The 17838-nt window shown below is 34.4% G+C and overlaps 1 long non-coding RNA gene across 1 annotated transcript in view, besides 2 other annotated features; it reads right to left on the bottom strand.

Annotated features, from left to right (window-relative positions):
* The window catches only part of LINC02172 (long intergenic non-protein coding RNA 2172), a 57700-nt gene extending 48702 nt beyond the window's left edge, over positions 1 to 8998 (bottom strand). Inside the window, exon 1 of the long non-coding RNA NR_146553.1 lies at positions 8919 to 8998. This is a non-coding gene — a long non-coding RNA (long intergenic non-protein coding RNA 2172). The remainder of the gene's footprint in view (positions 1 to 8918) is intronic.
* Positions 10828 to 11745: an enhancer, noted in NCBI's record as "OCT4-NANOG hESC enhancer chr4:138464138-138465055 (GRCh37/hg19 assembly coordinates)". NCBI's record gives its function as "activates a minimal SCP1, AML or CMV promoter by ChIP-STARR-seq in naive and primed H9 embryonic stem cells {active_cell/tissue: H9 hESC(naive and primed)}" and the evidence as "EXISTENCE:reporter gene assay evidence [ECO:0000049][PMID:30033119]".
* Positions 16355 to 17200: an enhancer, noted in NCBI's record as "OCT4-NANOG-H3K27ac hESC enhancer chr4:138458683-138459528 (GRCh37/hg19 assembly coordinates)". NCBI's record gives its function as "activates a minimal SCP1, AML or CMV promoter by ChIP-STARR-seq in primed H9 embryonic stem cells {active_cell/tissue: H9 hESC(primed)}" and the evidence as "EXISTENCE:reporter gene assay evidence [ECO:0000049][PMID:30033119]".

Here is a 17838-nt window from a genome sequence, read left to right as displayed (position 1 = left end):
TTTGAAAACTTCAAAATCTGTTAGTCCAGTGTTCATCATTATGGAAGTATAAGATTTTAGGTATTCCACGGAGGGACTTTGATTTTTATTTCAATGGTTGTGAAATTTACTTTTTGAATTTACAAACTATACATTTCTTTAATGTAAAAATTAAAGATCTAATATGAAAATAATGGTGTTCCAGTATTGAAATGACACTGTCTGAGAAAATTTGGCAAACTCAGAGAATTCTGAAGCTCAAAATTCCAAACCACAAAATCACTTTGACAGTCTTTCTTTTACCTGAGAAAGGAGACACAACCTTTCACAGGAAAAATGGTCAATATCACAAAAATCATACCTAATTTTCTCTTGGCTGGTTATAAAATCCAAATTTAACGTGGTTAGAAGTGGGAAAAAATGCAGTTAGAGGAATAAAGGATGTGGTTGTTTTCTTCAACTATAGAAATATTCTTCCTCATGTTTTCAGAAATATGGTACAAATACATTTATTATTTTATTCATTTATTTAACAAAATATATTCACCATTCCTTGTGGGATGGGCATGTACTAGTTGCTAGAGATAAAATTATATGAATAACCATTAATTATTATAGCCTTTTTGAAACTTCGAATCTAATGAGAAAGAAAAAATCAATTAATCACAAAACATATGAAAACCCACAATTTTGACAAAAGCTAAATAGGAGAACCTATGATAGGATAATTTGACTTGCTTAGGGAGATCCGAGAAGATTTCCTTGAGAAAGCATTCTCCAACTAAGGTGTAAAAGGATAATCATTGACTAGATATAGAGAGGAGAAAAATGTACCAAGCAGAGCTAGTAAGTGCAAAGACCCTGTGGCAAGAGATCTTAGATAATACACAGGATTGAATGACATTTAGTGTTCTTACAAAAGAGAGACGGAAGGGAAGCAAAATAAGAGAAGAACTAGGAGTTAACCAAGGTATGGATCATGAAAGGTCTTATAAAATTCCACGCAGAGGGAAATTGATATAATCATTATCTTATTTTTTATTTTAAAATTATGTATTATTTTTGAGTATGTATATATATATTTATTAATATGGAAACTGATTTGGTTTTCCACTTATTTTCCTCTACTACAATTTATATTAGTGATGTAACTTTTCTTTTTTTTTTTTTTTTTGAGACAGGGTCTCACTTTGTTGCACAGACTGGAGTGTAGTGGCGTGAAAACGGCTCGCTGCAGCCTCAACCTCCCAGGCTCAAGTGATCTTCCCACCTAAAGTAGCTGGTATTTCAGGCATGTGTCACCAAGCCTGGCTAATTATTTTTATTATTTTTTGCAGAGCTGGATGTCTCACCATATTGGCCAAGCTGGTCTCAAATTCCCAAGCTCAAGAGATCCGCCTGCCTCCTCCTTCCAAGGTGTTGGGATTGTAGGTGTTAGCTACCACGCTTGGCTAAATCTTCTCCTTTTAAAACTTTTAAGTGAAAATACTAAGTCAGTTTGAAGAAAAAATAATTTAGTAAATAATGATATAGGTGATGCTCAGATATGCAAAAACCCATATAGGTGTTACAAGAATGACTAAAGTGTGTGAAGCACTGCTTTAGTCTAATACATGAATTTTTTGAATGAAAGAATTGAGACTTTTCAGAGATTGCTTATTATTGTTTGGTATTATAATACATCAAATTTGTTGAAGGAAAATGAAATGATAACAGTAAAGCTGACATCATTTTTAAATATTTTGTGATATTTGTAAATAGAAATTCTGTATTTTCAGGAACCAATTTTGTCTTATATGAGGTATCAGACCAAATACTGGTCCATTTATGTTGTTACAGACACTCTGTGACATAACACGTATATTCCTATGGAAAGTTTTGAATGGGTTCTAGACTGAGAGTCCTGGCTATGGCAAAACTAAAGCATAAATCAGACCATTAAGTATGCTACTTCTAGGAGCTGAAAGTGCTCACAGAATCTAGACTTTTTACAGCAATACTGGTTTGGCATAAAATCTTTCAGGCTCATTAAAGATAATCCAGGTAAAGGAAATTAAAATATTGAGAAAATTCTTCTCAAAATTTAACCCTCCATATTGTATTCTCTAAAAGTGTATTTTTAAAAACTAGAATTTAGATTATTCATGCTTTTGGTATCACTTGCTGAGCGGCTGACTAGGTGCCAGGAAATGTGCTAAATTCTACAAACTTATTATCTCACCTAATGCAACAAACTGTAATGTTAAGATCTTATTAGCCCTATGTAAAAAATAAAATCATTGAGAATTAGTAAATATCAGTAATTTGGCCAACGGTGCAAGACCAGTATGTGCCAATGCTAGAAATGGGAACTAAACCCAAGAAAATCTAATTCCAAAATGTCTGCTGTTAATCACCGTAAGATTTCTCTCCTCTCTTTGTCTCTCTCTCTAGCACACACACTCACATTTCCATACACTCATATGCACACACACACATATATAAACATGTATAAATATATTCACCTAGGCATTTATAAAATACAAATATCTGGAAATGACATAAACTAATTTCTTGTAAATTCATGACCTTGGATGATTAAATGGAAACCTTAAAGATGGAGCTTGATTGATCATGAATGTGCTTCAGCTATCCTTTGCCATTCACTCCCTTGTATTCCATTTACTCTGGGATCTACTTCCCACCTATTAATTATACAGTATCAAATGTTGTATTTCTACCTGAACAAAACATGAACATGGGCACCAGCAGCCTGCACATTACTTGTTAGTATATAAATCAATAAGAGTTTTTAAATTCCTAGTGCCTTCAGGTTGTATGTCAGATTCAGGAAGGTCAGTTGCCAGAAAGCCACATTGCTTGGAACAATTTCTGAATTACTGGCACTAGATATTGCCATATTGATTTATTGATTAAAACAACAATAATCTACAGGCTTAAGTGGCAAATGAAGCAAGTGAGTGATTATTTGTGGTATTCATTGTGTCTGTATATTTTTGAAATGTAAAATTATTACCATTCACTTAACTTATTTTTATAAAAATCATCTTGTAGGGTACTTCTCTGAAAAATCCTAAGGTTTAAAGTGATGCTTTTTCACTGAATCAATTTTTTTTAATGAGGATTCTTTAATCAAATTAGCTACAATATCATTATCACATCTTTAAAATTCCTTAAAATAAATATTTCCTAATTGTTTATCTTTTATTAAGAATTTCTTTGCTTAAAATGTCAATGAAAAGAAGAGCCATAATTTAAGATTAACTGAAATGTCTTTTAATGTAGAGTTTACCGTGTACTCTCTGGAATCTTTCTGGAATTTTTTGTTGAAGATCTGTTTTGATTTTTTTTAACAGAATTTTCTTTCCCACATTTTGGGTTTTGCTGATTGCATCCCAGCAGTGTCTTTAGCATGATTTTCTTCCCTGTATTCCCTGTAATTTGGTAATTAGATCCAGAAGGTTGATTAGATTTGTTCTAGGTGTTTTGGGCAAGTGTACTTTTTAAGTGTGTATTTTCATCAAGAGGCAAATAACGTCTCTGGTTGTCTTTTTGTGATATTATCAGTACTGATGATTATAGCCGATATCTTTTATTTCATTACAGATTGAAAAATGATGACATTCAATTTTTAACATTCCTTTTCTTTCGTTGAGCAGAATAATTCTAAAAGGAGGAATGTTCCCACATCAACTCTTTGGTTAACTGGAAGTACAAGTTATTTAGACAAGGCAGGGTAATTCTTAATTCCTTTCTTTTATTTACCAGATATTTGGTTTCTTAGCATCTTTAAAAGTTGACTAGTAAAATTTTTGTTTTTATTATCATTATGAATTCATGCAAACACGTTTCATGTATTTTAATACATTGTAGTTATTATCCTTCATAATGCTCAAATGATTTCATCTTTGGCCAGTGTGAGTTTATTCAAGCTTGATCCTGGGTCCTTAAAACATTTTTCTTATAGGTTTTGCTGACATTTTTGCTTTTTGTTATGACAAAATGATACAGATTCATCTTACACATTTCCTGTCTCAGACTTTGAAGCAACTATTTCCCCAAGGAACCCTAGATCCTTTCAATGGAAAATGATATTGAGAGACAACAGTTAGGGCACTAAAAGAACTCATTTCTCTTGAGTTGGTCTTTGATTCTAGACCTTTTCAGTGGCAAGAAATAGGAAATATAAGTATAAATCAGTGTGTTTATTTTCTTTTTTATTTTATTTACTTTTTTTGGCAGTGGGGAGGGACAGAGTCTCCCTCTGTCTCCTAGGCTGGTGTGCAGTGATGCGATCTCACCTCACTGCAACCTCTGCCTCCCTGGTTCAAGTGAATCTCCTGCCTCGACCTCCCAAGTAGCTGGGATTACAGGCGTGTGCCACTGCACCCGGCTAATTTTTTGTCATTCGCTTTTTTTTAATAGAGATGAGGTTTCACCATGCTGGCCAGGCTGGCCTCAAACTCCTTACTTCAAGTGATCCACTTGCCTGGGCTTCCCAAAGTGCTGGGATTATAGGCATAAACCACTGTGCCCAGCCCAGGGGATCTATTTTCCAAAAATGTTGTTCCATGTTATTTTTATTTCATGTTATTTTATATATATATTTTAACATTTATTTTTGTTTTGTAATTAAATAGCATATTTACATTATTCCAAAGTTCAACCTGTAAGTAGCATGTATGCAAAGAAATTCAGTTTATATCCTTCTCACCTCTACCCCATTTTCTTCCATCTCCTTTTTTTTCATTTTTGTTTTTTCAAAGACAGGTTCACTCCATCACGGAGGCTGGAGGCTCACTGCAGCTTCAACCTCCCAGGGTCAAGTGATTCTCCTTCCTCAGCCTCCTGAGTAGCTAGGATGCCTGCTAATTAGTTTAATTTGTACAGAAATGGAGTCCCCCTAGGTTGCCGAGGCTGATCTTGAACTCCTAGGCTCAAGTGATCCTTCCACCTGGGCCTTTCAAAGTGCTGGGATTACAGACATGCACCACCATGCCCTTTCGTCTCCCTTCTCTATTGATAAACTTAAAAATTTTGTGAATATACTTCTGATATTTCTTAATATAAACAACTACGCTCACATACATTCTGAAATTTAACACTTCTTAGATAATTTGCAATTTATTCCATATAATTTTCTCCATCTTGACAGGCACTAGATGAATGGCTACTCATTCCAGGGGCATAATCTTATACAGGAGACATTTTTAAACATAGTTTATACAAAGCTTACTATTGATGAGTATGTCCATTGTTTCATTTGAAATTTTTATAACTATAAATAGCATAATCCATATAATTTATTCTGTATTATTACCATTCAATGACTTGATTTTTATCACAACTAGTTTAAGGTAGGTAGTCATTTCATTACACAAAGAAAGACTATTTGTCAGAAAATAAAGTGCTATGAAGATTTTAATTGATTGGACAACTGATTGATTAATCTAGCGAAACAACCATAATGCATACCGGTGAAAAAACTTAGAACAGGAGGAAAGCAACACCTTTTCACATTTAATTTTGCGTGGAAGTCAAATCTCAAATCAGCAGCAGAGCCTGTAATAGATGAGAGCAACCTCTCAGCATGGTATCTAGCAGAAGTCTCCCCTAACTAGACTCTTCTAATTCTCTGATACCATGCCTCTGCTTCCATAGTGCTCATCTATTTTTTCTGTGTTTACCACTTGCCCCTTGCCTTTTTATGTCAATTGTTATCTATAATATACCATTTAAGAGAAAAATTAAAGTTTAATAATTTCAGTACTTGAGCTATAGAGTGAGGTATCAATTTCACATTACTCAAGTAACTTGGCACACATTTAAAATACTAAAGAGTCTTCCAGGCACTCCCCCATAGTGATGGGAAAAGAGAAATCTTAACTCTTTAAAACTCTACTTTCTGCCATCCCTGTTCACCTGGTCTCGCCTAGATATCTCGTCTACCTTGGAAGATAGCCAAATCTATTTCCTTCAGAGAACCTCAGCTTAAATGCATGTTTGATAGGGCCATATAACTTCCCAATTTGCCTCAGAGAATCCTCTTTTATTTAAAGTGTAACATTTGTATTGTGGCTCATTTATCACCATTTTTCTTCACGATTGTTTCTGAATTGATAGTTCATTTTTCAGTTTGAGTGAAGTTGACCTTTAAATAGAAATCAAAGATGTAATTTTTATACTGTTAAAATAGTTGAATGGAAACACAAATGATCATATTAATATAGGCATCTGTGAGTCCAGACTTCTCCTTGGTCAAGAAGCAACTCATTATTTCTAGAGAATCACTAAAGGCAGGATTTGTTTACAATTAGTCTTTTTTTTTTTAATGCAGTGATAGTTAATAGCTATAATATAATGTTGATATTTTGTTGTATTTCTCCTCCCAATATGCTATTATTTATGTATAATCTTTACATTTATGTGAATAACACAACGATAAAGGAATGTAAGGCAGAAAGGGATTGACAGGGATGCTTTTTGCACCCTGTCCCTAACTCTCTCTGACACACAATGTCCACTCTCCTTTACTGTCCTCCAGAAGGTGCAAATGTTTCTTCTCCTTTAATTTTTCTCACCACCACCTCTTTCCTTTATGTGCTTCTTCTACTGCTATACTCCCATCTAGAAAGAGATGTAAATACAACTTTTCTACCAACCCAGAAACTAGTTTACTTGTTTCAATATTTTATGCATAAGACAGACATCATTTTCATAGCCAAATTTCTTGTTTTTGGAAAGATTCTAGTGAAGGCCTGGCATGGTGACTTACACCTGTAATCCTAACACTTTGGGAGGCTGAGGTGGGTGGATCACCCGAGGTCAGGAGTCTGAGACCAGCCTGGCCAACATGGTGAAACTCCATCTCTACTATCAATACAAAAAAATTAGCCAAGCATGGTAGCTCGCGCCTGTAATCCCGGCTACTCGGGAGGCTGAGGCAGGAGAATCACTTGAACCTGGGAGACAGAGGTTGCAGTGAGCGGAGATTGCGCCACTGCACTCCAGCCTGGGTGACAGAGCAAGACTCTGTCAAAAAAAAAAAGAAAAAGAAAAAGAAAAAGATTCTAGTGAAATAAGTCTCAGCTTTGACTGTAGATTATAATCACCTGGGGAACTTTTCCAGCTCCTCAGGAAGCAAAACAGACCAATGAAGTCAGACTCTCTGGGGGTGAGACCCAGGCATCAGCGTTTTCTAAAGCTCCTCAGGTGATTCCAATATGAAACCAAAGGGAAGATCATGACAAAAAAAATGCAGCATTTCTCTAAGGATCATACATCCGCTGTTCAGTGTCACTGCTGATTAAGGGAGAGCCACTGTTCATTTGAGAGGCAATCATGACCCGGAGTACAAAAAGTTTTGTGAATCAATGCCATCAGTTCAATAAAACAAACATTCATCACAAACCTCATTAACCAAACTAGCATTTATAATTACAAATAGTTAAGGTAAAATAATACTTTGAAGAATAAAATAGAACTCTGTATTGACTCTATATTGTGATTAACAAAAAAACCCGTTAAGTGCTAATATTTAAACTACTGATTCAAATTGCAGAATGAAAATCACTAGGAATGATATTCACCCTACCCAAGGAATTTGACTAGTGTGGCATTCATAACAGTTATCTTCCAGATCCATTTAGACTCTGATATTTCATTTTATAGAATTTTTACTTTTATTCACACACAAACTTCTTTAATGGAAATTGCCCATATGTCATACAATACATGATTGACTTATTTTACATTTGCTTAACAGCCTTATTCTTTATTCCATGATTTACAGAGACTTTCTAAGGGCAAAACAGTCAAACAATATCTTAATAACATGATGGTTTTAAAAGGGGACTCAAGGCAAAATGTGAATATGACACTTTAACATTGATTAGCAGATAGTCCGTCTAAAGACTGAATTCAGCACATCAATTTTGTTAGCAATATACACAGATTTTTTTTCCTTACTAGGTAATGGTAAAATTTTACTTTTTATCAGAAAAGTAATTTTTCTAACACATGAAGAATAAGTTAATATGTGTTTACATTTGTATGTGTGATAGAGTTTGAAAATTCAGGTTACTTCTAACTCTTATCATGAAAATATTAAAATTTGTATATTCTTTAATTTGTAAGAGGTGATACCAGCTGTTTCATTATGCATTGTATTTGCTCAGGGATTTAATTCATGTGCCTGGGAGCATATGCTTTTTAGAAAACATTTTAATAAACATTTGGATGTTGTCATACTTATAACTCTGGAGAGAAAGTACACTTTATTATTTTAATTATATTAGCATGTGGCTGTATGGCATTACATTTCCTGAAAAGTTAAATTGACATATTAAATAAATAATGAAAGTATATATGAATTCACACATATCTATATATATTAAAACTGATGCATATTAGAATCCTTAGAGAAAATATAGCAAATATCTTTGCTATAATGTTATGCCCGATTCTATTTGTTATAGCATAATAGTAAGCCAAGTACTGAGCTTGACTTGGTCCAAATATCTTGGTTCATTAATGCAGATTTGCTTTGTTTTAGGTACAATTTTAAAAATAATATCTGAGACAACATTGCTAACATGATACACAAAGATAAAACACAATCTGTTGCTGTTGGAGATCTATTTGTATTAATAATATATATGCTTGCATTCTATTATTTTCAACAACATTCCATGCTATAGACTTCTGCAATAACTGAGATGGAATTTAAGCAGTTGGCATGTGTTTCAGTTTCTGTGAAGTTCACATTTTTCATAATGCATTAAGAAGAAGAACTATTACTAAAAGCTCATTTATGTTATGGACATAGGCAAGTATGACAAGCAAGGCCTAGTTAACAACATGATTGTGCAAAGCCATGAGGAGAGAGAGCCTATAAACAAAACCTGTTGCAGGAGCACAGTAAATTCTAGGGGACTTACCCAAAAGCATTAAAAGAAAATCCAATGTGGTGAGTAGAACACTGGAGGATCTGACAGCACACTACAGACCATCATTCATTGAGCACTTGGCAGCGTAAGATGAGATTGCTGGTAGTGCAATCTCACAGTAGGTGGTGCAAACAGCGAGGATTCCAGAGGAGATTCCAAAAATAGAGGCAGCATCATGGAATTTCACCAGCTGATATAAAGACAACAGTCATAACAGTTTGGAGGAGGATTGAGTAACTTGGAGTTGGAATGGTGAGAGAATAAAACTAGCAAAACCAAACAGTGTCTAAACGTCAATTATTGAAGTGGGACAGTAGGCAAGGATGACGCATCAGGTATAAAGAAGTCTAATTAGAGCCACGCAACAGGCCTAGTGTCAGTGTCAACATAAGCATCAATAATTGCTGAGCACCAACATTCATACCTCCTTCCTGACTCAGGCAAGATTGGTTTTGGATATACTGGGGCAGAGCTCAGAACTCTGGGGATGGAAAGGGAAGGGTTCAAATGGTCTGAGACAGGAAAAAAGAGAAATACAAAGGCTGTGAACCAGACAGCATTCCATGTGAGTAGCAGAATTCAAGAAACAACTAACAACATAAATTGTATTTGTGTGGATGCAACTTTTAGAAAAATCTGCAGTCACACTTCTGCATGGTACAGAGAAGTCAGAATTGGGGTTTTACATTCTTACCGTGCAAGTCTTTGTGAATATTGTAAATAACCAGAGATGTTCATACTAAACTTTTGCGTAATAGAAAAATGACTGAGTGTTCTATTCTGTTAAGAAATCTAGGTGTGCACAATTTCTTCAATGGCATGTTATCACTTACATCAAGACAAATACATAAGGAACTCAGATACCCACTTTTATTTTGTCTAAGAAGCCAGGGGGCAATGCATTTTCTATAGATTCAAATATACATTACCTATCCTTCACACAAGAATTATAACTATAACCATTAAAATATTTAAAAATGAAGATATTTTTTCTCCATCTACATGTTGGTGAGCTTGAATTATATCACATCCCAAACATTAATTTTATTTTCTCCTGGGTTTTATTTGAGAAAATTTGCATTTTGGGAAGAAGCAAAGAATGGTTTATAAAATTAGGTAATTTAAAACAAACCATATAATCTTAACCAAAATTTCTTTTTTCCTAATGCTATATTAAAAATGTATATGTAGTAATGAAATTTTAGGTTTTGATGTATGGCATTCAAAGGAAAAGCAAGATAATCAGTATCAATAAGATTGTTTCCTGTTTCTATGAAATATAGAGCTAAATATATACAAAATTTTCAATAGTGCTATCATAAATACATATTTTTTAATTGTAGTCATTGAAGTAAAAGTTTACCTATTTTTCACTATCTAATTTTTTTGTAAAAGTACAAATTAATCTTCATAGCTTTCACTATATATATAGCACTGCTTTCACAGCTTTTAGCAGCCTAATCATTCTTCTGTTGTTCCAAAGAGGCTTTATTTCATTTGAGCAGACTGTTTTAAATGCTTCTTTTTAAAAATTAAGTTATATCTTTAAGAGAAGGTGCAGTTTTTGTATCACTTATTTGACATCAAGGAAGGAGGTTTTCTTTTAACCTCCTTGTAGCCTACATGTCAATAAATAATAGGCTTCTGCTATTTAACCTATAAAAAAATCATTTATTATCACCTCACTCTTGTCCAACATAAACTTGTTAAAAACTGCAGTTTGTAAATATTTATCATGAAACAAAATGGTGAAAGGGACAGTACACTTTTAATTTTCAGGTAGCAGGCTGATATTTATGCAATTTAACATAATCGGACTGCTGAGGCTTTAAAAATATAGGCTTTCTTGAATTTGTCATGTTTTGTGAATCTTTCTCTCCTTGCATAACAAAACACTCTGTTTACTCTCTATGGAAAATTACTCAAAACTCTTTTTCTCAGGCAGCTGTAGTTTTGGCCAAAGCTTCCACGAGATGCAAAATTGGACCTAGTATCAATGAGGACAGTAGAAAGAACTATTGTTGTTAACTGATCATAGCTCCTTAAGTGAAAATGTTAGGAGACCAAACACAGGCCTTTGAAATATGAGGGAGGCAGTCTTTAAAGATGTGGCGTGTTACTTATAAAATGAAATAAAATTCCACATTTTAGAAACTCAGTTACTTCAAGGTGTTGATTTTAGGTCCTTAATCTTTTTTTTTTTTTGCTCCTTCTCTCTTCATTCCAAAGGCTTTCCTCTGTGTGATCTCTTTCCCCCAAGAAAACTTTCCACTGAGTTGAAAGCTTGGGAACTCTTAAGTTTAGATGAATGATAATGAGCATTGTCAAAGAGGCAGTAAAATTGAGTCCTTGGTTCTGGCTGTTGAGCTGAGAGCTGCAGGAGTTAATTGTGTGAATGGTAATGAGACCAGGGAGGCAGCAGATGCTCGCGTGCCTTTACAATCCAAATCCCACCAACAAATTCCTCCCACAGAAACTTTGAGGGACATCTTGGCACCCTGGAGATGGAGATAGACCCAGCCATAGCCACATGCCACCTGCTAGACCTATTGTTAAAAGAAAAAAAAGCACATTACAATAACAAAGTTGTTTGCTGTCTTTTGCAATGACTTTATGGCACCGGTTTTACCATACTAGAGGAATGGAACATCTGATTCTTTATGAAGAACTATCTGCACCCTAAACAGTTAATGACTTAACATGTAAAGACTGATGTTCACTATATCATACATACTCTTCTGATAAGCCATGCCTGCCATTTTCTCTTATAACTCCCCCCGAGGCTGTCTATTCTACAGCAGATTTGCAAAACTATATAGTTTTTGATGACCTTCAGAAAAGGGGCCATTTTTGCTCCTACAGAAAAAAAAAAAAGGGCTTAGAGTTGTTATAAATACATATCTTTAAATAAAAACCACTTTGGAAAAATGCTCTGAATGACCCATTTTTATTGAGTTTGAGTTGTTGCCCACTATCCTTTAGTAGTAATAATTTGCTACGTATCTAAGATGAGGAAGGCCAGAATGCCTTGTTTAACAAAATGAATGATCAGAATGAAGGCAAGAAAAATTAAAAGTGGTTCTCACACACTGGCCCTGGAGGTGTGTGTGGCGGTGTTTTCCATATGGCAATTTAGGACTCTCCATGAGGATAGTTAAATGGTGTAAAATTGTAAGAAAGTCTACTATTGATTAGTTACTTTCACTTTTGAGGGTGTATATACCTGATTTTTAGAAACCTTGGTATATATTCCTTGTATGAAATAATAGGCCTAGTTCCAGTATTAGAAAACAGGGTTCATTTAAATGGCAACTGCAGATAGGGCAGATTTGTGCTGTTTACGCCACCCCAGGAAAGAGGCTCCCTGTCTCTGTCTAGGTTAAACAAAAGCTGCTTACGTCCCGTCCTCACTTTTTGTTCAGCTAGTTGACCCTCATTATTATAAAAGCAATTAGTTAGGCTGGAATTTCTGAATTCATTATAGAAAACCTTTGACGACCTTGTGTTAATAGTACAGATTTTAGATTGAAATATTTATTTGCTTTGCAAGTTTATATCATTATCAATTCAGGTTTTGGCTGCATAAGTGCTGTGATGCTGGATTATTCTGTTTGTAAAGACCCAAGATTCTATAGTAAATAGAAAACTGTGTTCTTTTCATAACAATAAAATATGTGCTTCTGACTTACTGAGAAGTCAGAAATGGAAGCATGTGGGAGCAATATGTAAATGCCAAGAAAGCTGTTTATACTGGGATATGTTCCTGCATAATAATCATAATCCAATCCTAGCAGAAACCTTTTGAATTTAAAACGTTGTCGAGTTACAGCAAAACAGAAAGAACCACAGCAAGTGTTGCAGTTGCTGATTATTTGTGAGAAAGCTAAAATATGTTTACTTTTGATCTTTTTTTTTAAATCGGGAATTTCTGTATAAGTTTATCATTCTCCAGTAAGATCATTTTAAATATTTTATTGTGATTTAGTGAACTGCTCTAGAAAAAAGGGGGGACATTTTGAGATTCATTTTTATTTGGAAAGTTAAATCCAATACTTTTGGCTGAGCAAGGTAAAGCACATTTGCTTGCCTTAAATTATATTGCCTTCTTTACCAAACATGTTAGAGTCTTTCATTTAGCCTCACAGCCAGAAGCGGACTTTCCAGAAAAGTGTGTCAAAATAAATAATACATTGAATACTCAAAGTAAAACTGGGTATCCAGGTACACTTTTTATGTCTTCCTCCCAAATTTAGGATCCAATCCATTATTCAAGAAAATATACGTGGAGAGTGACTTGTCACTGCAAAGACATGATGGTACAATGACAAAACATCAAAGAGCTGTTGAGTGGGAAGTAGGTTTCTTTGATCTCAGGTCAGTATCTCCTGCACTGCATTATGCTCCTCCCTTGTGTCAGTCTCCTGATTGGCTTTAACTCAACGTTTGGAGTGTTTCTGATTGCAACATAAGTAAGAATCTGAATGTCTACTCTCGTTTTTCCAACTTCTCACTTTTTGTTCATACCTTTTAATCTAAAGATGATTCAATTGTATTTCCTTTAGTATGAGCCTAGTCACAGGGAAGCAGTACATGGTATGTGAAGATATCATACCTAAGGTATGTGGGGTGTATTTAGAGCCAGTAAAAAGACCCAGTCTTACCTCCTCAGTTTTCTCCCACCTCTGCCTAAAAATCACTTCAATTAAGCCTGTAGCACTGATTATTTTGAAGGGTATCATCCAAAGAAAAAAGCAGATTTTTTTCTTGCAGAGGTTGAAATATTTTTTCACAAGACAAATCACCTTAATGTATATTGATTGTCTTTCCCCCATAGCTTAACAATTTTGGAAAATAAAAGAATTTAAAAATATGACAGAGTTTTTCACTTAATATTTAAGAAACAAGTCGTTATTACTGTATAGAAGTAGAATTTGGAGACAAACATAAGTATAAAAATTCAATATCTACTATATATTAGCCATGTTTTAGGCAAAACTTTGTGAGTCTTAAATTCCTTAAACATAAAATAATTCTAGGATTAATGTGGCTGACACAACTTGTTCTCCATTTAATATCCACTCTCTAATCCACTTTGTTAAATGAACACTATATTTTAGGACTTTGCCCTTCAGGAAGGAAAGGAGCTATTCCTCTCCTCCAAGACTGAAACTTTCTAGTCTAGGTAGGCCAATTATAACAGCTTTATTCTCCTTGTTAGAGATTGGTTAATAAAGGTCATGTGACACAATTTTGACCAATGAGCTTTAAGAGCATATCAGTAGGAAACTACTAGAAAACATTTTATTTCTTGATGAAAGAAGATTAGGTGATGCTGTCTTTTTTGTAACTCTATATTCAGCTAAGTGGAGATATATTTTCTAGAACTGTAGCAGCTGTCTTGGAATCATGAATGAACCCAAGAAAACAGAACAAGCCAGCACATTGAATATCAAATAGCAGAAAGATGGGAGACACCTGGTTTGTGATGGCATTATTGAGCTGCTCAATATTCAGTGTTGAAAATGTCCTATCACTGTGTATCTCCTGTTTTGAAATAATAAACTTCCTTTTTTTGACAATTTTAGCCAAGTTCTATTATTATATCCCACATGTTTCTAACAATCATAAATATTTCATTATTAAAATTATAGTAAGAATTAAAGGAAATATATGTGTAGCTCACTTGGCACTCAATATGGTTCAATAACTATTATCTTTATTTTTATTATGGTCCAAGACCTTTACATTCAAATGCTAGGTGAGATGTAACTATTATAGATGGTATTTTTTATATCAGTAACACAGTCCACGTGTAAACTGTAAATTTGCCCTCTTAACTAAATGGGAGCCTACTTTGAAGCTTAAATTCTTTTGGATAGAGAATATGAGCTATAATTGATTAGTTTATTACAATTAAAATAACTTACCCAAATTAAAAATAAATACTAGACGATAATAAAAGAGGCACTATATTGTTACAAATGGTGGGCTGCTATGAGTCTCGTAGGAAATAGGCATTATTTTCAGTGAAGGTCTAACAACTCTCCTCAGTCTCATTCCCTTTGAAATATTTTCTATTTAATTCACATACATTCAGATACTTATTATGTAAAACCTATATGTGAACTGTTTATTCTCTTTGTAAGTGTAAGTGAGTAAAGAAATGGTAAGCACATGCATTTTCAGAGATCAACTTTATAGCTAAGTATCTACTAGATGTTCTTAATCTCTATCATTTATTTCCTTTATTTTATGAAATTTTAGTTATTTTTTGATGAAAGTTGCTTTTGGAGAGAATACTTTGAACTTTTTTCTTTTTCTTGTAAAATTAAGCATCCCTCAATTTTATAACACTGCTGTTAACTGTATACACTACAAATATCCTTGATTGCTCCTTGTTAAAAGTGTTTCAATTGATGGATGATAAACCTAAAGTGAATAACTTCTTACAAATTCTAAGTAAATAAGAAATTGGACCATGAAGTTGCATGGTATTTACTAATAATTTTTATGCATATTTGATGCCGATACTTATCACTTATCCAAGCTTAACATACTATATTAAAACCTTTCAAAAAGTTTCAAAAAAGTTTCAAAAACTTTCAAAAAGTTTTAATCTTACCTAATATATCCTAAAATATCATTGACTTGGTTTTTGTTATTTAAGTGGATGCTCATATTTCTGAATGATAACAGTTCTCCTTTACATTATAAAAACTTTTTTCTTGAGAGTAGATGCCAGTCTATGAACAGTGTGATACTCCTAGTTGGAACAACAAAAAATGGTTGGATAAATTAGCTATTTATTAAGAGCATCCAGAAGTATCATACATGAAGTGTATTTTAACATGAACACAAAGAGTCAGACATTGGCAATAAACTTTCTGTCACACTTTGATTTGTATTCTTAATTCTGAGCTGGAAGTATTTAAGGATAAAATAAACTGTATTCTCAAGATTTGCTTTGCCGCATGATAAAAGAATGATAAACGAAGGAATGTTGCCATGAAGAAAACATAAAGCAAACTTGTGATTTATATGTACTTCACAAATATGAAACACTCAACCAGAGATTCCTAAACATATACATATGCACAAGTATACAAATAAATATTATGACATTGGAGATATTTTCACCTTCGGAAATAGCTCTTCCAAAAGTATTATTAGATCTCTTTTTCTAAAAAGCGTTTTCCTTGCTGATGGAAACTGTACTGCCTAATGGATAAACTGGGTGATAGCTGCTATAAAACCTTAGATCCAGAGGGAAGCTTAATTTCCCTTCTCTTTCTGTGAATTTAACTAAACAGAGAAGTTTTCTTATATCACTTCTACTTATATTCTTGAATTAATGAGGTCTTAGCTCTGGCCCTTTTTCTGGTAATCTTCTCCATGTGCCAATTATCTCTAAACTCCCTGGAGGAGAAAAATCTCACAGCACATAAGATTTAAGTACCATCATGTCAGAAGTTTCACCACTTCACTCAGTAGATTACTCTTCTTAGCAATGTCTCAAAATTTAATGTGCATAGGAATCACCAGAGGACCTTATTAAAATGCAGAATTTGTTGATGGACATTTGGGTTGGTCAAGAAATTCTGCATTTTAATAAGGTCCTCTGGTGATTCCTATGCACATTAAATTTTGAGACATTGCTAAGAAGAGTAGTCTGAATGAAGTGGTGCAACTTCTGACATGATGGTACTTAAATCTTATGGATTAAGAAAATGTGGCACATATACACAATGGAATACTATGCAGCCATAAAAAAGGATGAGTTCATGTCCTTTGTAGGGACATGGATGAAGCTGGAAACCATCATTCTGAGCAAACTATCGCAAGGACAGAAAACCAAACACTGCATGTTCTCACTTATAGGTGGGAATTGAACAATGAGAACACTTGGACACAGGGTGGGGAACATTACACACCGGGGCCTGTTATGGGGTGGGAAGAGCGGGGAGGGGTAGCATTAGGAGATATACCTAAAGTAAAGGACGAGTTAATGGGTACAACATACCAACATGGCACATGGATACATATGTAACAAACCTGCACGTTGTACACATGTACCCTAGAATTTAAAGTATAATTAAAAAATAAATAAATAAATGTAGAATTTGTTTAAGTAGGTCTGGGGTACCGTCTGAGACTCTACATTTCTAACAAGCTTACAGCTAATGCCCATGCTGCTGCTTTAAAGCCCATACATTGAATGGCAACGCTTAAACTAAAAATTGAGACTCAAGTCACCTAAGGGTTTAGTCTCCCCACCACCCATTTCCACAAATCTTCTCAGCTGCAACTATAGGAAGACGCTTTGTAGGCTTAGTTTTTTGCCTCAAGGTACTGTACTGAAAGGAAAGAATTTAAGGAATTCAGATGAATAATCCTAAAAGTCAATTTAAAAGTCAATTTTGCTGCCATCTAGTTTAACTTTGCAATCTGGTCTCCAATTGTGAGGAGGCTTTTCGTATGTGCCCATTTACAAAACACTGAACTTCTAGGTGCCTGTTTTGTTCTTCCTGTTTTAATCCTGAATTTCATAACCTGCCTTGTTTGGAAGTCCTGAAGGAAGTCGTATTGTTTGGAATAGCAGCTCACCTACATGCCTTTCATCTGGACTCAATAGATTGCCTTTTGCCAGACCCTAAGTCACCTGCTGGAACTTGGCATATTACCTTTGGCAGAACATCCTAAATACTGATTGCCCACTAAGACAAAATTGACCTAGCACCTGTCACTGTATTTCACGGACTCCAACTCTTCTTGGCCCCTGGTTTGTGCTGCCTCACAGCCCTAGCACAGCTATGCTTCCAGGTGCGTGGGCCTCCTGTGGGTGCTTAGCACATTCAGTTTTGATCAGAATTCAACTAAAGTCTATTTCTGTTACACACATCTAAAGATAGTT

Source organism: Homo sapiens, chromosome 4, assembly GCF_000001405.40.
Source record: "Homo sapiens chromosome 4, GRCh38.p14 Primary Assembly".
Lineage (NCBI taxonomy): Eukaryota > Metazoa > Chordata > Mammalia > Primates > Hominidae > Homo > Homo sapiens.
This window is presented reverse-complemented; position numbering and strand designations above follow the sequence as displayed.